The sequence below is a fragment of the Homo sapiens genome, chromosome 2, assembly GCF_000001405.40.
Source record: "Homo sapiens chromosome 2, GRCh38.p14 Primary Assembly".
Classification (NCBI taxonomy): Eukaryota; Metazoa; Chordata; class Mammalia; order Primates; family Hominidae; genus Homo; species Homo sapiens.
Window position 1 is genome coordinate 33387003 of NC_000002.12, and position 20418 is coordinate 33407420.

Below are 20418 nucleotides of genomic sequence, written 5' to 3' on the forward strand. Positions count from 1 at the left end.
TATTTTTAGTAGAGACAGGGTTTCACCATGTTGGCCAGGATAGTCTCCATCTCTTGATCTCGTGATCCACCCACCTTGACCTGCGTCATGAGCCACCATGCCCGGCCGACAGTTTCTTTAAAAATAAGTACCAGAATTAATTCATTTTTAACATCTCCTCTAGATCACAACTGTGGCTTCAATATAAAATATGGAACAAGTCTGTCTTTCAGATGTACAACAAATGTATATAAAAAATAATGGGAGAAGATGACCTCAGCTCTTGAAACTTGTAAACATTTCAGCAATCTTGCTCTCGCAAAGAAATCCTTAATTCTGCGTTTTCAAACTTTAAGCAGAACTGACAGCCATTTGTGCTCTCTCTGTTTGAAGTAGTTCTTTTCTTTTGAGTCAAGAATCTTTTTCCAGGTTCGGCTATTTCCTTAATGAAATTAATATTTCACACAGAATGGTTTCATGCAAAAGTGCTGGGACGCCTGGAGTCTGGATGTTGTTCCTGGAATGCTTCCACATAAGGAGAATTTTAGACAGGGGCAGCCAGAATCCTACCCTATCCAGTGGTTCAAGGTCTTTTCTGGCCTCACGCTTGCTTTGGGCAGTTCTCAGAATGTGTGTGTGCACGTGTGCACATGCATACACACACACCTTTGATTCGTCACCCTCATTCCTCCAGTCATTTAAGTAGGAGCTGATAAAAGAAAGCCTTCAGGGTTCACAGTATTGCCTTGGTGGGGTTTTTTTTTTTTGTATGTTGCAAGAATAAACACAATAGGGGAAAATTCCAGGCAAACGTGGCCATTGCCTTGCGCGACAATAGAGGAAAATTCCAGGCAAGTGTGGCCATTGCCTTGCATGACAATAGAGGAAAATTCTAGGCAAGTGTGGCCATTGCCTTGTGTGACTGCCCCACTCATGTCCATCTGGTCCTGGGGCCTGTAGCCTGCCTGCACCTCACAGTCCTAACAGAGCTGTTGACATCCGTGGAGCCCCAGAATTTCACCAACTGCTAGATGTATCTTTGGGAAGTGTATTTTGTGGAACATACTCAGAACATGAGGCTGTCCTTTCTACAGCTTTCCTCCCTAGACCTTCTCAATAACTCTGTTCTTAAATGTAGACAAGAGCCTGGGATCATGAAAAGCATTGAAACCTCAGTAACCCCGGGACAAATGGAGAACCAAAATCCTGTGCACTGGTGGGTCCTTGGGGGAGGAGTAAAGGGGAGTCTAGGAGTCAGGGGGCCGTGGGGCTGACCCAGTGTGGAACAGCAATATGGCCTCAGGAGGTGAAAACCACAGATGGGTCTAGCTGGGGTACAGAGATGGTAAGGACAGGAATTCCAAAGGAGCTGAGATCATTGCAGGGGAGACAAATGTGAAAACTGTACACTCTGGAGCTTCGTTTCTGACTTCAAATCAGGTTCTGCCACATGGCAGCTGTCATGTAACCTCTCTGTGCTTTTGTTTCCTCACTGGTAAAATGGAGATGGTAGAACATAGGATGGTGTGCGTCTTTTAGTGCATCGATGTGTATTAAGTGCTTAGAACAGTATCTGGCATAGAGCAAGCATTATATGACTGGTAGCTGTTGTTATTACCACTACCACGGCTGTTCTTATTATCGTGATTATTATGACTCTCAGCATAGCTATAATGCTATCCATAGAGACTGTAGAGTTATAATCGTGACTACTAAATTTAAGCAGCATCCTTGCCTGGTGCTGTATCATTTTTGGACACCAGAGATATATTTATTCCTGTCTCTAGAGAGCGAAAAAGCACCTCTCTGTCAGAATGACTACTTTCTACTTTAAAAATGTTTTTGATGATAACTCTTGATGGCTTTAGATAAAGCCATCCTTCCAAAAGGCCTGAAGCACTCTCAGATGGCTCCGTTTTGTCAGCCCTTTACTGCTCTGGGATGTGGTCTACCCACTGTTAAGCTAATATTTTTGATCTTCAATTTGGAACCTTAATTATGCTGTACAGCAGTCGTTGTACGTGGATGCATAAAATTCCCATCAAAAGATATTCAGACACTTTCCAGGCTCAGTGGTACGCAGGAGATGGAGACACACGTGGAAGGGTGTGCTGGCAGATTCCCGTTGCTCTGAGCTGCGAGGGGGTGGGGCAGGTGCGAGCTAACAGTGGTGGGGCCTCATGCTGCTTGTCTACTCCTTAGATGACTATGCTCAGCTGTGTAACATCCCCGTGACGGGACGCCGGCAGCCATATGGACGGGACGCCTTGGTTGACTTCAGTGAACAGTATACTCCAGAAGCCGATCCCTACTTCATCCAAGACCGTAAGCAAAATAACCTTGTTCCTTTGATACTAAGTTGTGGTTGAAGATTAATCAGTGGTCCTCAAAATGTAATGGCAACTTGTTAGCAATGCAGCATTTCTGGTCCCACCCCAGACCTGCTGGTCAGAAAGTCTAGGGTGGGACCCAGCCATCTTTGTTTCACAAGGGCAGTCCTTCTGCGTGGGTGAGTCTAAGAACCACTGCATCATTCGTGAGCCGAGATCACACCACTGCACTCCAGCCTGGGCAACACAATGAGACCCTATCTCAAAACAAACAAAAAGAACCATTGCATTTGATGAATAGTCTTGCTGGTGGGGATACTGTTATATTTACTTTTCTTAAAGTTTTGAGATGGAGTCTCGCTGTGTCACCCAGGCTGGAGTGCAGTGGCACGATCTCAGCTCACTGCAACCTCCACCTCCCGGATTCAAGCGATTCTGCTGCCTCAGCCTCCCAAGTAGCTGGGATTGCAGGCACGCACCACCATGCCCGGCTAAATTTTGTATTGTTAGTAGAGACTGGGTTTCACCATGTTGGTCAGGCTCTTCTTGAACTCCTGACCTTGTAATCCATCCATCTTGGCCTCCCAAAGTGCTGGGATTACAGGCATGAGTCACCGTGCCCTGCCTATCATTATAATTTCTATAACAAAATCATTTCTCTTCTCTTTAAGTGGTGGACTAGTTTGAGGGCCAAGGTTTCCATGAGAGCCCAGTTGTATTGCAGCCTTTTTTTCCTACAGGGAAATGCAAATGTTAACTGTACAAGTTGATCATTATTATAAGTGTTTTAGAGTAGGAGGTAAGAGAAGAATTGCCCTTTTGGTCAGAAATGACTTTTTAAAATACATTGGTGAGGGGATTTATGGAGTAAGAAATAATGTGTGCCAACTTTTCCTGGATTAGTGAGCACAGCTTTCATGGGGGAGGTGGGAGTGTGTATCTGCAAATTGTGATCCCCTTTAGAACGTAAATGTTGTGTGAGGAAGCCTACAAACACACAAGCTCAAATCAGACTTTTCAAATACAGACAATTTGAAGTCTGAAACAGCAGGAGGTCCACAATGAAATATTAGTAGATAGTAGATAGTCTCACTTCAAGAACGAGAACAGGAAAACGCCCATTTTGAGAGCCTCGTCCACAGCTCACAGAGGGGCCATCCTCACGTGTAGCTTCACCACAAATTTTTTTTTTTTTGAGATAGGGTCTCGCTCTGTTGCCCAGGCTGGAGTGCAGTGCCATGATCACAGCTCACTGCAACTCTGCCTCCTGGGCTCAAGCGATCCTCCCACCCCAGTCTCCCGAGAAGCTGGGACTACAGGCACGTGCCACTATGTGCAGCTAATTTTTGTATTTTTTCCGTAGAGATGGGGGGTTTCACCATGTTGTCCAGGCTGGTCTCGAACTCCTGGACTCAAGTGATTCATCCGCCTCGGCCTCCCAAAGTGCTTATAGGTGTGAGCCACCATGCCTGGCCTGCACCACATTTTTAAGATAGGTAATTGCTGCCGACCGAGGAGTTTGACTTAGGACTTTAGAGAAAAATGCAGTGAAGCTTTTTTCTGTCCTGGGCCCTGTCACCTGTGCACGAAGCGTCCTAGCCAGGACCCAGTTCTGGGGCAACAGCATGAGATTTCTAGCTGAATTTAGGATCTATTTCAGTTCTGCATCAAGAGCTTTTATTTTTTTTTTCCTTCTCTTCTCTTTCTCTTTTCCCTTTCTCTCCCTTCTTCATTCCCTCCTTGTCCTTCCTTCCCCTCCACCTTTTTTTTTTTGAAGGATGTAGTGTATTGATCATCTGGTAGAATTAAAAATGTTTTAAAATGTCCATGATAAGAACATTCTATTAATCCAGCTAGGCTGCTTAACACACGCCTGTGTAACTCCCACCCAGGCCAGGAGCAGTGCCAGCCTCCAGAAGGCCCCTGGTGCCTTTTCCCACCCCCCTCCCTAGGGTAACCACTATCCTGACTCCTAACACCATAGATGAACAACACTCTTTCTTTTCATCCACAGCACATAACCATGCAGCTCTTTATGAAATGGACCAGAATGCACTCACAGCTACAAGACTGTGCACTTAGGGTTTGATGCTTCTCTGTATATGTTACGGGTCAGTAAACGTTTACTTAAGAAAAAAGGAAGGGAGAAGAATTATTAAGGTTGAAAGAAAGCCCAGCTTGCCCCATTAATCAGGAATACCAGGTTAAGTCTATATGCAACTCTGACAATCCCGTGGCTTACAGCTTTCCTCCCTAGACCTCCTCAATAACTCTGTTCTTAGATGTAAGCAAGAGCCTGGGATTATGAAAAGCACTGAAACCTCAGTAACCCCAGGACAAATGGAGAACCAAAATCCCAGGCACTGATGGGTCCTGAGAGTCTAAAAGTCAGAAGCCTCTATGGCATTATAGTTTGGATTCCAGGAATTTTCATGTTGAAATGTCTGGCTTATGTACCTTCTTTTTAATGCTGGCATTGCTTTAAAGCTCTTTTTTTTAATTAACTACACATGTTAAGAAATAAACATGTTGGTGTCACATCAATCTCTTATTTAGCAACATAGGAAATTGAGATGCAGTTCCAAGACCTCCAGCTTGGACGATGTAATGGCCTTTACATTTCTTACAAGTTGCAGAGAAATATTTCCCCCTTCCCAGCCAGTTTTCTGACCTCCAGCAAGGGCTTTTGGAGCCTGCTGCAAAAATGATTGTGTTGGGTAGATAGTAACATAGACGGAGGCTGAGTGAGGTTTCTTATCGCCTTTATGGTTCACCATCTCTGTTACCTTTAGGGAGAGCAGTACTTCTAAAACTGGAATTTGCTTGAGCAGAGAATAGGCAAACATTTGCCCTTTATAAGGGCCAGGTAGTATTTTTTTTTTTTCTTTTTTGAGACAGAGTCTTCCTCTCTTGCATAGGCTGGAGTGCAACGGTGCAATCTTGGCTCACTGCAACCTCCACTTCCTGGGTTCAAGTGATTGTCCTGCCTCAGCCTCCTGAGTAGCCCTGGGATTATAGGCATGCACCACCATGCCCGACTAATTTTTGCATTTTTAGTAGAGATGGAGTTTCACCACGTTGGCCAGGGTGGTCTTGAACTCCTAACCTTGTGATCCACCTGCCTTGGCCTTCCAAAGTGCTGGGATTAAAGGTGTGAGACACCGCACCGAGCCCAGATGGTAAAATTTGTAGGCTTTGCAGGTCATGTGGTTTCTGTTGTAGGTATTCAACTCTACTGTAGTTTCACAAAAGCAGCCCTAGATAGCACAGCAGCAAATGGGCGTGGCTGGGTTTATTTACAAAAATAGGTAGCAGGCCAGATTTGGACCAGAGACTGTAGTGTCCTGACCTGTTTTAGAGTCCTGCAGAAGTATTTTGGGGAGCCTGCCTGATGTGTGGGGAGTTTCAAGTTTTACTTTTTATGTTTTAATTTCTGTAATAATAAAAAAGGTATTAGATATGAAGTAGAAATCATTTTGCTGTGATACATGGGATCTGAAAATATTGTCGTAGATTAAGTCTTTATTTTGTGTGTTTCTTAACTGGCTTTGAGTATGTGGTGTCACTTTTTTTTTTTTTTAAATTGGGGTCTCACTATATTGCCCAGGCTGGTCTTCACCCCATGAGCTGAGGAGATTCTCCTGCCTCAGCCTCCTGAGTAGCTGGGACTCTTGTTCTCCTTTAAAGTTTTAAAATGGGCCTGCCATGGATGTATTACTCAATTTTTTTTTTATGGTACAAATTTTTTTAACTTTTAGGTTCAGGGGTACATATAAAGGTTTGTTACATAGGCAACATGTCATGGGGGTTAGTGGTACAGATTATTACATCACCTAGGTGTGAAGCCCAGTACCCAATAGTTATTACCTTTTCTGCTTCCCTCCTCCCACCCTCCACTAGTGTCTGTTGTTTCCTTCTTCTTCTTTTTTTTTTTTTTTTTTTTTTTTTGTGGTATTTGGTTATATGAGTAAGTTCTTTTTTTAAATTTTTTAAATTATACTTTAAGTTTTAGGGTACATGTGCACAACGTGCAGTTTTGTTACATATGTATACATGTGTCATGTCGGTGTGCTGCACCCATTAACTCATCATTTACATTAGGTATATCTCCTAAAGCTATCCCTCCCCCCTCCCCCAACCCCGCGAAAGGCCCTGGTGTGTGATGTTCCCCATCCTGTGTCCAAGTGTTCTCATTGTTCAATTCCCACCTATGAGTGAGAACATGCGGTGTTTGGTTTTCTGTCCTTGCAATAGTTTGCTGAGAATGATGGTTTTCAGCTTCATCCATGTCCCTACAAAGGACATGAACTCATCATTTTTTATGGCTGCATAGCATTCCATGGTGTATATGTGCCACATTTTCTTAATCCAGTCTATTATTGATGGACATTTGGGTTGGTTCCAAGTCTTTGCTATTGTGAATAGTGCCACAGTAAGCATACATGTGCATGTGTCTTTATAGCAGCATGATTTATAAACCTTTGGGTATATACCCAGTAATGGGATGACTGGGTCAAATGGTATTTCTAGTTCTAGATCCTTGAGGAATCGCCACACTGTCTTCCACAATGGTTGAACTAGTTTACAGTCCCACCAACAGTGTAAAAGTGTTCCTATTTCTCCACATCCTCTCCAGCACCTGTTGTTTCCTGACTTTTTAATGATCGCCATTGTAATTGGTGTGAGATGGTATCTCATTGTGGTTTTGATTTGCATTCCTCTGATGGCCAGTGATGATGAGCATTTTTTCATGTGTCTTTTGGCTGCATAAATGTCTTCTTTTGAGAAGTGTCTGTTCATATCCTTCTCCCACTTTTTGATGGGGTTGTTTGATTTTTTTTCTTGTAAATTTGTCTAAGTTCTTTGTAGATTCTGGATATTAGCCCTTTTGTCAGATGGGTAGATTGTAAAAATTTTCTCCCATTCTGTAGGTTGCCTGTTCACTCTGATGGTAGTTTCTTTTGCTATGCAGAAGCTTTTTAGTCTAATTAGATCCCATTTGTCAATTTTGGTTTTTGTTGCCATTGCTCTTGGTGTTTTAGACATGAAGTCCTTGCCCCTGCCTATGTCCTGAATGGTATTGCCTAGGTTTTATTCTAGGGTTTTTATGGTTTTAGGTCTAACATGTAAGTCTTTAATCCATCTTGAATTAATTTTTGTATAATTTTGTAAGGAAGGGATCCAGTTTCAGCTTTCTACATATGGCTAGCCAGTTTTCCCAGCACCATAGCACCATTTATTAAATAGGAAATCCTTTCCCCATTTCTTGTTTTTGTCAGATTTGTCAAAGATCAGATGGTTGTAGATGTGTGGTATTATTTCTGAGGGCTCTGTTCCGTTCCATTGGTCTGTATCTGTGTTTTGGTACGAGCATCATGCTGTTTTGGTTACTGTAGCCTTGTAGTATAGTTTGAAGTCAGGTAGCATGATGCCTCCAGCTTTGTTCTTTTGGCTTAGGATTGTCTTGGCAATGCAGGCTCTTTTTTGGTTCCATATGAACTTTAAAGTAGTTTTTTCCAATTCCGTGAAGAAAGTCATTGCTGTTTCCTTCTTTGTATTCATAAGTTCTTATCATTTAGCTGCCACTTACAAGTGAGAACATGTGGTATTTGGTATTCTGTTCCTGCGTTAGTTTGCTAAGGATGATAGGCCTCCAGCTCCATCCATGTTCCTGCAAAAGACATTATCTCATTCTTTTTTATGGCTGCCTAGTATTCCATGGTGTATATGTACCATATTTTCTTTTTTATCCCCCAAACTTATGCCAAATCTCATTTAATCTTTACAAGGTAGAAAAGTGTTCATTCATTACAAAATACTTCTACTGAGTGCAGACATTGTGTTCAATGTTGGGTATGCCATTCTACATAGCATCGTTTCTCTATTTTTAAATGAGGAACCTGGTTTCAACAAAATCAAGTGACTTGGCCAGGGTCACAGGCATGAGCAGAAGACCGAGTTCCTCTGATTCAAATCCCATGGTTCATTTCCACAAAATAAACCTATAACTGAGTGGGGCTTTAGAGATCCTAAAATTCAGTGCTTTTACTTCATACGTGAGAAAAATAAGCTTTCTGCCCAAGTTTACAAGGTACACATAGGGAAATGGGAATGGGAACTCAAGTCCCCCAATACCAGTGTATTGTTCTTACCCAAACAGATAATTTAAGATTCACTTATTGTATATTTTTCGGTCATCTCTAAAACCCACTTTCTTCTCTGAAGGGCATGCTCTAAAGTTTCTTCTTCACCTATCTCCCCTCAGGGCACCTAATCTTAGAATGTAAGAGAAACTCTGACCAAATTTGTCTTCATGTTGACCTCAGGCACTTTAGTCATTGTTGAAACTTCTTTTTTGTTGTAGTTAAGAGAAGTAACAAGTAAGTCTTTATTTCCTTGTTTAGAAAAAAAAAAAAAAAGCTGGCTAAGTTGGTTGCTTTTTGGTGATCAAGGAGACCAAACTCCATATCCTTGTCCAATTCCTCCAAGTTAGACCTTATTGCCCTCCATAAGCAATGATATTTTGCTGCCTGCTGCCCCCTGCAGTTCCACTGGAGAATTACTTCAAAGGCCAGATAGAAAGTTCTAGCCATATATTTTTTTTTTTTTTGAAGCTACTTTGTGGTACTATTGGGAAGAGACAGGAGATGAGAGGCCACATGACAGTGTGTTGGGTCACTGTGGATTTATGTTTAGAACTTTCCTCTGCAAAATGAGAGCTAAACACTCTTGATGCCTGGCTAAATTGTTTTTACATCACAAAAACTCTAAAGTCTAGCTCTGACTTGGTTTCAAGAGATCTAAACTATAAAAAGAGCCAAACAAGAGTTTCTTTGTTTCCTTAAAAAAAAACTTTTGGTTCTGTTTTTTTTTGGTGTGTGTGTGTGTTTTGTTTTGTTTTGTTTTTTGGTTTTTTGTCTTTTGTTTTTTTGACAGAGTCCTGCTCTGTTGCTCAGGCTGGACAGTGGCCGTGATCTCAGCACACTGCATCCTCCACCTCTCAGGCTCAAGCGATTCTTCTGCCTCAGCCTCCCAAGTAGCTGGGATTACAGGTGTCCACCACCACGCCCGGCTAATTTTCTGTATTTTTAGTAGAGACAGGGTTTCACCATGTTGGCCACGCTGGTCTTGAACTCCTGGCCTCAGGCGATCTGCCCGCCTCAGCCTCCCAAAGTGCTGGGATTATAGGCATGAGCCCAGACTTTGGGTTTTCTAAACACAAGTATGATGTTCTTTCTCATTCATCAGGATGTTTTGAGGCCCTTTTACTGAATTTTTCCTTTGATCCCCTGGGAGCCCTTTTGTAAGGCTCATTCCGTAGCCAGAGCAAACAAACACATGGCAGAGCCAGCCTGCTTCTCTCTGGTCTTACAAACGCCGGCTGAAAACGTATTGCCTCACACTCTTACGGACCTTCTTAGCAAATGCTTACTAGACTCCGATAGTGAATTCTGTTGGTTCTGTTCTGAGAGTCTGACACTTGCCCTACTGCAAACTCACGAAGTTTGGAACTTTGGATGAACACTTTTAATAATTAAGAGCAAAAACAAAAACCATACTTGCTTTCTCGTTTTATGTGATTTTAACATAGAATATCAGAATTCAAAATGAGGCTACTCTGCACAAAATATACAAGTTTTTTATTTTTATGCTATTTTACACAGCAACATTCAGTATTTCTAATGCTAACTTTAAGATGTCTGAAATATGTATGGACATATATGTGTCTATTTGGAAAATGAACCATCATCTAAATATCATTTACAAAATGATATAGGAAGTTGAGAAGCTCTAACTTAGCTTCTGCCCTTTCCTTTCCAGGTTTTCTAAATAGCTTTGAGGAGTTACAGGCTGAGGAATGCGGCATCCTCAATGGATGTGAAAATGGTCGCTGTGTGAGGGTCCAGGAAGGTTACACCTGCGATTGCTTTGATGGGTATCACTTGGATACGGCCAAGATGACCTGTGTCGGTAAGAATGACGTGTGTTTTATGGGACATTAATTTTTTCCTGACACCCCGTATCTCAGTCAGTAGAGAACATTTAAGATAGATTTGCTGAGTTTCAGTTTGAGAAGATGAGAAAAGTTCTGGAGATGTACATTAAGTACAGTATGAATATACTTAATGCCACTGGACTATATACTTAAAAATGGTTAAAATGGTAAATATGTTCTGTGTATTTTACCACAATTCTTTTTTTTTTTTTTTTTTGAGATGGAGTTTTACTCTTGTCGCCCAGGCTGGAGTGCAGTGGGGTGATCTTGACTCACTGCAACTTCTGCCTCCCAGGTTCAAGCAATGCTCCTGCCTCAGCCTCCTGAGTAGCTGGGACTACAGGCACCCGCCACCACACCCGGCTAATTTTTTTTTTTTTTTTTTTTTGTATTTTTAGTAGAGACGGGATTTCACCGTGTTAGCCAGGATGGTTTCAATCTCCTGACCTCGTGATCCGCCCACCTTGGCCTCCCAAAGTGCTGGGATTACAGGCGTGAGCCACCACGCCTGGCCTCTTCTCCATCTTGAAGCAGTCCTTTTGCCCACTTTGCTTTTGTTAGTTTTAATCCATGGTGTGTCTGTAAAATAGGTAACCTAGCTTCTTAACAGATGTTTCAAGTGAGTGAGAGCCTAAATGGGTCTCATGTAGAAGGAGGTCTGTGAATGTTATGGAAGGCTTTAGACAGGCTGTATGGAGAGGCCTCTGCGTAGGTATCTGGTTCCTCTTGACAAATCTAGCAGTTCCTCCATACCTATGGGAAGGAATTTGGAAGTAATATAGTTCCTCCAACTTCCTTGAGGTTCTACTAGAAAATGTCAAGCTCACAAAATGCTCATGTTTTGCTAGATAACAGTGAAAGAAGTTCTAGAACCTCCCTGATAATCTGCCTCTTTAAGATCTCAAAAAAGTCATCTTCGTCTTGTCTGTGACTGAAGCAATGACGAGAAAGCTTCCTTGGGGTGGTCGGGGGAAGGGCCTCAGGTAAGCCTCAGGTTATGTGTCCTCACAGAATAATATCCAAGATTGTTTACCTGCATGGCTTGACTTATTGCAGATGTAAATGAATGCGATGAGTTGAACAACCGGATGTCTCTCTGCAAGAATGCCAAGTGCATTAACACCGATGGTTCCTACAAGTGTTTGTGTCTGCCAGGCTACGTGCCTTCTGACAAGCCAAACTACTGCACTCCGTTGAATACCGCCTTGAATTTAGAGAAAGACAGTGACCTGGAGTGAAACAGAATCTACATAACCTAAGCCCATATACTCTGCACTGTGTAAAGGAAAAGGGAGAAATGTATTATACTTGAGACATTGCACCTACCCCGGAAGGCTGGAAATACAGAAACAGCATGGAATTGCAAGTCCTCTGAAGACAATGAGAGGATTTAGGATGAGCCCGATAGGTGTGGCAGACCAAATGGACATTTCTCTAAAAAACCAGTATATATAGTCTGTTCATATGTAAAATTCAATGGAAGAGAGGTGGAACAGTGCTGTTATTTTAAACAGAAGGTTGTATTATTATGTTGTTTTGTTTTTTTACTATTGCTTGATTAAATTTGGCATTTAAATAGTGGTGGAAATATTTTATATAATTTTCATTTTTTGGTTGTGCAGTTCCTTGGCTACTGTTTTTCTTTTACTTCAGTTTTTTAAAAATCTCAAATGAAAAAGTCTTCGATACAATATTGTTAAGCTGTATTATAAGTATTGTTACACAGGGTTATGCAATTCCCGGCCTGGAGCATTTTTGAAATTCAAATTGTCTGTCCTGTGGAGCAGGCAGTGATTTTGTTCCAAAACTTTGTATACACATTTGGAGAAAAGTACTTTATATTTTCAGTGTTTTGTCTGATTTTAATGTCCGTTCTTAGCCAAGCTGCTAGCAGGTGTTAATTGGATCCCTTTCCTTCACTGAAATGGAAGAGTTTATAAGCTTACGTTAGTATTGTAATATGTAAAGTAAGCCCAACAAAAATTTTTAAAAATTTGATGATCCCCAATATATCTACCATTGTATGTTAAATAAATCACCATTTTTGTAGAAAAAATTCTACCTGAGAGTAATTGTCAATGAGTACATGTGTATAAGTTGTATCCCACTCTCCCCACTTTTATCTTTTCCAGTGGTCTTCTGTTAATGTAGTGTCTTTTACAAGTTAATCATTAAATTTGTTAGATCTTGTTATGGGCTAAATTGTTTCCCCTAACATTCATATGTGGGAATTTTAACCTCTGATACTTCAGAAAGTGACTAGATTTGGAGATCGGATCTTTAATGAGGTAATTAAGGATAATGAGGTCATTGGAATGGCCCTAATCCAGTATGACTGCTGTCCTTGTGTCACCCATAGAAGGTGTCTGAGTTACCGGTGACGAATCCATATAGGTCTGCAGCAACCTCAGTTCTTGCCTCCTCAGAAGAATTTGACTGAGGGGTATAAGGCAGAAAAAGAGACCAGGCAAGTTTCAGAGCAGAAATGGAAGTTGATTTAAAAAGGCTTTAGAGCAGGAAAGAAAGGAAAGTTCACTTGGAAGAGACCCAAGTGGGCACCTGAAGGCCAAGTGCAGTGTTTAACCTTGACCTAGCTAGGATTTTACAGGCTGGCCCCTTTCCATGCTTCTTCCCTTAGGGTGGGCTGCCGGCACACACAGCACCCTCCTTACACTTGGGAAGTGAGCACACACAGTGTTGAGGAAGCTGTACATATGCCCATCTGAGGCTTTCTTCCCTTTCCTGGTGGTGTGCCCCTGGAAGGTTGTACTCCACCATTTTGTCCTTAATGTGCATGCCCAGGAAGTTGCATCTCTTTGGCACCTGCATTTAATTAACACTTAAGTGCAGCAGGTGTGGGCCATCAGGAAATGCCCACCCCACCCCGCCCCTGGGCCTTGGCTGCCAGTTGATCACTTTTAGAGAGGCAATGTGGTCACTGCTGAACCACCACCTGACATTCCTAGTGGGTGGGGGAAGAACCCTCTCCTGCCCCGCTTATGCTTGTCTAACTACCTGTAACACAAGAAGAGATTAGGACACAGATACACAGGAAAGAAGTGAAGACACAGGGAGACAATGGCCATCTACAAGCCAAGGAGACAGGCCCCAGAACAAATCAACCCTGCGGAAACTTTGAACTCCAACCAACGGCTAGACTCCAGATTTGACAGAAAATAAATTTCTGTTGTTTAAGCCGCCCAGTTTTTGGTACTTTGTTATGGCAGCCCTAGCAAACTAAAATACACATCACAGGAAAAATGAATATAATAGCTTTCACAGTTCCAGTCCCTGCTTATACAACCACAGTAATGCCATTGTTTCATTGTTTCATACTTTAGCTGAAATTCACTTTAACTTGAAAAAGCATCTGAGTTTTTAAAAACAAACTATCGCTAGGCATATCCAGCAGAAATATCTGCCCACATAACATTTTTTTCTGAAAGGTTTTGCATTTTAATAACTACAGTAGGCCTGGCGCAGTGGCTCACGCCTGTTAGCCCAGCACTTTGGGAGGCTGAGGTGGGTGGATCGCCTGAGGTCAGGAGTTCGAGACCAACCTGGCCAATGTGGTGAAACCCCATCTCTACTAAAAAAAAAAAAAAAAAAAAAAAAAAAAAAAAAAGAAGAGAGAGAAAATTAGCCAGGCATGGTGGCAGGAGCCTGTAATCCTAGCTACTCAGGAGGCTGAGGCAGGAGAATCGCTTGAACCGGGGAGGCAGAGGTTGCAGTGAGCTGAGGTCGTGCCATTGCACTCCAGCCTGGGCAACAAGAGCAAAACTCTGTCTCAAAAATAACTAAATAAATAACTACAGTAGGCAGAATAATGACACCCCAAAGATTTCCGTGTCCTAATCCTCAGAACCTGTGGGTATGTTACCTTCCATGGCAAAGGGGAAGGAAGGTTATAGATAAGCTGCTAATCACCTGGCCTTAATAGGAAGGCTATCCTGGATTATGTGGGTGGGCCCAATGTAATCACAAGGGTGATTTCATTGTGATTACACTGGGCCCACCCAGATCATTTGGTGACTTCTTCCAAAAGGAAGAGGACCTTAAAAGTAGAAGGAAGCCAGTCATGGTGGCTCACACCTGTAATCCCAGCACTTTGGAAGGCCAAGGCGGGTGGATCGCTTGAGCCCAAGAGTTTGAGACCAGCCTAAGCAACATGGTGCAACCCCACCTCTACAAAAAATAACATAAATTAGTTGGGCATAGTGGTGCACACCTGTAATCCAAGCTACTCGGGAAGCTGAGGTCAACTTCCAGCCTATAGAACTGAAGATAACAAATGTGTATTGTTTGAAGCTACTGAATTTGCAGTGATAGAAAGCTAATACAGTCTCAAAGCTTCATATCTTACCTGTCTCTTGCAACATCTTGTAGCTGATGTTTGTATAGGGGAAATGTGTGACCAGTTTCCAGCTGTTTCCACTTTCCAGCATGTGCTTTTAATGCATTTTCGTAGTGCCTTCCACGTCTAGACCTTGTTTTTACCTAGTGGTGTGCAAGTCCCAAAAAAGTACAGCAAGTGTCTAAAACTGTACAGAAGACAGCCACGTATGTGTGAGAAAAACAAATAGGGAAGAGAAGATACTATTGCACACAAAGCAACTTTGATACTAAGAGATGCTTTAAGCATCTTACAGTCTAACATGATAGTTTTATTGCATTTCCATTGTCTTTGTAGGAAATTAAGGGATTTGACTGAGGTGTATCATGAATTCTATTAGCTTCTTCACACAGCAAATTTTCATTTTTACAGATTACTTATATTAAGCAGGAGATGCCTGTACATAATGAAAATACATAGCTTGCTTTATTTATTTATTTATCTAATTTTTTATTTTTTTGAGATGGAGTCACGCTCTGTCGCCCAGGCTGGAGTGCAGTGGCATGATCTTGGCTCACTGCAACCTCTGCCTCCCAGGTTCAAGCGATTCTCTCCCCTCAGCCTCTCGAGTAGCTGGAATTACAGGCATGAGGCACCACGCCCAGGTGATTATTGTATTTTTAGTAGAGACAGTGTTTCACCATATTGGCCAGGCTGGTCTTGAATTCCTGACCTCAAATGATGCACCCCTCCTCACCCTCCCAAAGTGCTGGGATTACAGGTGTGAGCCACCACCACGCCCAGTCAAAAATACATAGCTTTAAATGTGACTATTTTTAAGTAAGTTTTGTTGCATAAAGTTTGTTTCACAACCCTAGAAAAACGGTTTTCTTTTTGTGGTATCTAAGATTCTTTTAGCTCCTTTCAGAAGTTACTGCAATTTTAGGCTTAATGTCAGTGGCCTTCACACGAGGTCTAGGATTCTGTGACAGTGGTCCTAATTCATTGGTCATGAAGAGACAGGCACATGGTAAGATGTAGTCTAGTCATTCATTTGACATGTATTTTCCAGCTGCATTTAAGCATCTTATACCCAATTAAGAACCATTTCTCTTCTTCTGCACGCCCATGGAAGTGGTCTCCATACTGTAAAATACTATCAGTAATATTTTATTCATTTGTCATAAAATCAAATGTCATTCCAAAAAAACTAAATCTGGCCATCTAATTTAAACCTATATAGTTTGAAGTTATGTTCTTGAAATTTGCCATGCTAGTTGAAATGAGCAGCAAGTACTAATCTAGCAAAATAAACCCTTAAATATATCAAAGTTCTTTTGTACAACTTCATGTTTCTATTTGAAAAGTTTATAGAGGCCGGGCGCAGTGGCTTACGCCTGTAATCCCAGCACTTTGGGAGGCCAGGGCGGGGGGATCATGAGGTCAGGAGATCGAGACCATCCTGGCCAACACGGTGAAACCCCGTCTCAACTAAAAAAATACAAAAAATTAGCCAGGCGTGGTGGCACATGCCTGTAGTCCCAGCTACTCAGGAGGCTGAGGCAGAAGAATCACTTGAACCTGGGAGGCAGAGGTTGCAGTGAGCTGAGATTGTGCCACTGCACTCCAGCCTGGCAACACAGCAAGACTCACTCTCAAAAAAAAAGTTTATAGATACAAAAGCATATCATAATTTAGCTTTAGTGTTTTCACACAGAGACTTTCTTACTCTAAAATTGTACTTTAATTCTGGTAAATCTTAATGACTCCATGTTGCCAGAAATAGGTATAAGAAATGAGGCTCATGAATATTTCATTTGAGTCACCAGCCTTAGTTAACATATATGTCAGTGTTTCATGTACTACTTTGTGGAGGCAACCTGTAGCCGACCAGACTATGCTACTCTAAATATGCTTTTTTGGCACAATGATTTTTTTTTTTTCTTTTTGAGACGGAGTCTTGCTCCATCACCAGGCTGGAGTGCAGTGGCATGATCTTGGCTCACTGCAACCTCCGCTTCCGGGGTTCAAGCAATTCTTCTGCCTCAGCCTCCTGAGTAGCTGGGACTACAGGCGTCCGCCACCACGCCCGGCTAATTTTTGTATTTTTAGTAGAGAGGGGGTTTCACCATGTTGGCCAGGATGGTCTTGATCTCTTGACCTCGTGATCTACCCGGCTCAGCCTCCCAAAGTGCTGGGATTACAGGCGTGAGCCACTGCGCCTGGTCAGCACAATGATTATTTTGATGTGATTATTTTCAGAAACAGCAGACAGTAGAGGCTCTGAAAACAGCATAGGATACTTTTTTTTAATAAGGGAAATTTATAAAGAAAATTTCCATTTGTGAGGATATCTCTCCTTCTCTGTATCAGAAAGATGATCGCTCTGGGACTTAAACTTGCATAATAAGCCTCACAGTTGTTTACCACACTTTCCCTATTCACCTTCTCATAACTTGCCTCCTCCATAGCTTTCTTCCTTTATTTTAACTGGAGATGGTATTTAAGCCCAAATTCTAAGCCTTCCATGTATATGAGATACACGTGTTAATACACTTCTATTTGTTTTTCACTTTTAAATCTGTCTTTTGTTACAAAGGCCCCAGTGGAGAATTCAGAAGGGCAGAGGAACAAGGATTTTTTCCCCCTCATCTACAAGACCATAACCATAGATTTATGAATTGTTCTAATTACTTGCAGCACTAAAATTCTATGTTGCTAATACTCTCCAAATTTCAAAGAAGAGTGACTTAAATATGTCCTATAGCACCTATTATTTGCTGCTGAAATCTTTGGCAAGAAGAAGAAGAAAATAGAGATGGTTGCCAAAGCCAATATCAAAGTGATGGGTAATTGCAATTATGAGAAAAAGGGAATAGGGAAGGCATCATCTGCAAAGTGCAGCGATAAATCACATTCTGATAAGACAGAAGACAGTTCTCAGGGAAAAAAGCTCCCCGAGTTAGGATAAAACATTTACAATCATTACAGGAATGTGAGGGTCCTCGGGCTTTCACTTGAAGGCTTTCACTGCCTTTAAGATTATGGCTTTACCATGGGCCGGGAGTGGTGGCTCACGCCTGTAATCCCAGCACTTTGGGAGGCTGAGGCCGGTGGATCACCTGACGTCAGGAGTTCAAGAACAGCCTGGCCAACATGGTGAAGCCCCATCTCTACTAAAAGTACAAAAATTAGCCGGGCATGGCGGCAGGCGCCTGTAATCCCAGCTACTCAGGAGCCTGAGGCAGGAGAATCACTTGAACCCAGGAGGCAGAGGTTGCAGTGAGCAGCGATCATGTCATCACATTCCAGCCTGGGGGACAAGAGCAAGACTTTGTCTCAAACAAACAAACAAAAAAGAGTATGGGTTGGCCATTACCAAAAGAAGAGGTGAGAATGTTTGGGGAACTTCAGGCCCAGTAAAATCAGTGTGGCTAGAGCAGAAAGAGAACCCAGCGGGAGTGGTAGGTTATGCTCTCAAAGAAGCCTTAACATGTGATGTTTATGGGCCAGGGTAAAGTTTTCCTTCCTACTAAGATGTCTTTAAAGTTCTCCCTCAACCTTTAGTGATCTCAACTTTTTCAGCCCCATTCCCAGACATTTCTTTGAATGATGAATATTTTTTCTACTATCAGTAAGCAAACTTCTCTCTTCCTCTCCGTAGGAATTGTCCTCCCTGGTTCCTTCCCTTGTGACGTTAATAGTTCTCTGCAGGTTACCTTAAACTATAAAAATCTCAGACCCTTCTAAGGCACATACAGAACAGGATGTCATGTTGCTCCTAAGCCCCACCTGGAATGTCCTGCTCTTGGAAGAAAAAACAGCCCTTTTCCTCTCACCATTTGCAGAGGCCCAAAGAGCAAAAGCAAAAAAGGATAATGAGATGCTCCTAAGGAAATGGCAAGCGGCTGGGCTTTGGGGAACATGCCCAGCTGGGTTCAATTTCAGCATCTTTCCTTTAAAACCAAGAAGTTCCTAGCACGTGGGTTCCTGGGGGCGTTGCATACTCAGCAAGCTGCGCAGCCTCTCAAGGATAGAGAGGGAACAGAGAAGAAAGAGGCTGAAAGGGGAAAATGGTTCGTACAGAACTTTCCCACGTAAGAGAACTGGGTAGGCACTAATTAGCCTCTGCTAAGATTTTAATAGTGAAAAGGAGTTGCTGTTATTTCATTTATTCTATAAGCATTTGTTAAATGCTTATTTTGTACCAGGCGTTGTGCCAGCCCTGGGAATATGGAAATGAATAACTAGTCATCTTTGACCCCATAGCTAGCTCAGAAGACAGATGGGACTAACCACAAGGCAATGAGGTAAGTATAGTAATTAATAGAACCTAGAATTCAGTGTTATGGAAACAAAGCAGAACCAACTGATTCTACCCTGGAGGGCGTGGGGATGTAGAACTGTTCCGTTTTTTTGTTTTTTTGAGACGGAGTCTCGCCCTGTCGCCCAGGCTGGAGTGCAGTGGCGGGATCTGGGCTCACTGCAAGCTCCGCCTCCCGGGTTCACGCAATTCTCCTGCCTCAGCCTCCCGAGTGGCTGGGACTACAGGCACCCGTCACCACGCCAGGCTAGTTTTTTGTATTTTTAGTAGAGACGGGATTTCACCGTGTTAGCCAGGATGGTCTCGATTTCCTGACCTTGTGATCCACCCACCTCAACCTCCCAAGGTGCTGGGATTACAGGTGTGAGCCACCGCGCCCCACCGGGGATGTAGAAGTCTTAAGGAGAAGATGAAGTAATTGGAATTGTATGGGCTTAAAGTTCACTAGGAAAAAAAAAGAGAACCACACAGCCACTTCACCTGCTCCTTCCTTTTTGTCAAAGGATGTATGTCTGGTCTTCCAGAAATAGCACTGGACTTGGCATCTCAGAGCACCTACCTGGGCCCTAATTTCTGTCTCTTCCATGGCCAGCTATACGACCTCGAACAAGTCTCTATCTTGTCACTTTTTTTTTTTCAGTCAGTAATGTGAACTCTGAAATCCTTACTGTGTCAAAAACGTCAAATGCTTTTTTTTTAATCAAATAATCTTTCCCAGCTTGATTTCTTAATCCTAGTTAACTGTGATCACATTAATGATTTGCTACCTTAGAATGGCTTAATGAAACCCTTGGGCCATAGCCATCCTCTGCAGAGCTGGGTGTTCCAAATGGACATTCCACAGATGTATAAAAACAGGTGGTAACTGCTCTAACAACGCAGGGGCATTCTGTGAATCACAGCTTCAACATTTGAAAGACTTGACATGAAAAAAGATAGATTGGATTCTAAATCCACTGGCATTTTGACAAGAAATTTCAACTTTACTTTTGCCAACATAAAAAAAGAAGAGCTTCTTTAAATGCAATTTTAAATGTCTTAAATTTGAGTGATCTTTAAAAAATTTAGAAGTTTTAGCCTCCATTTGTGCAAATTTTTCACTGATGGTGACTATTAGAAATCCGAGAGATTAAATTAAAACTCTCGATCAGGAACTGCAGGTAGTCATTTCAAAGATAAAACCTACTTAAAAGTTTGCAGATGTAAGCTCAAGTTTCTCAATAACACTTTAAAAATACTTTATTAGGAAGTGTTATAAAATTATTCAATATTTAATTTTATACCTACTATATAATCTTGGTTTTACAAGTATTATATAAAGAAAATTTAGTTTTTTTAAACTAAGCTCCACTTAAAGGCCTCAAATCCCCTCCCGTTAATCCCAGTCTGCCAAATAGACATCCTGTGAAACAGATGTTTTGCCAATCTGTGAAAAACATTGGGAAGCATTATTTTA

General features: G+C 42.1%; 1 protein-coding gene across 65 annotated transcripts in view; it reads left to right on the forward strand.

The window, feature by feature from the left end:
* Positions 1-12507, forward strand: part of LTBP1 (latent transforming growth factor beta binding protein 1) — a 452557-nt gene extending 440050 nt beyond the window's left edge. For all 65 annotated transcript variants that reach the window (XM_011532853.3, XM_011532857.3, XM_011532861.3 and 62 more), the window contains 3 exons: positions 2182-2304; positions 10131-10280; positions 11362-12507. In XM_011532853.3, coding sequence (XP_011531155.1) covers positions 2182-2304; positions 10131-10280; positions 11362-11543 — 455 coding nt within the window. In that variant the 3' untranslated portion in view covers positions 11544-12507. The remainder of the gene's footprint in view (positions 1-2181; positions 2305-10130; positions 10281-11361) is intronic.
* The last annotated feature ends 7911 nt before the right edge of the window (positions 12508-20418 follow it).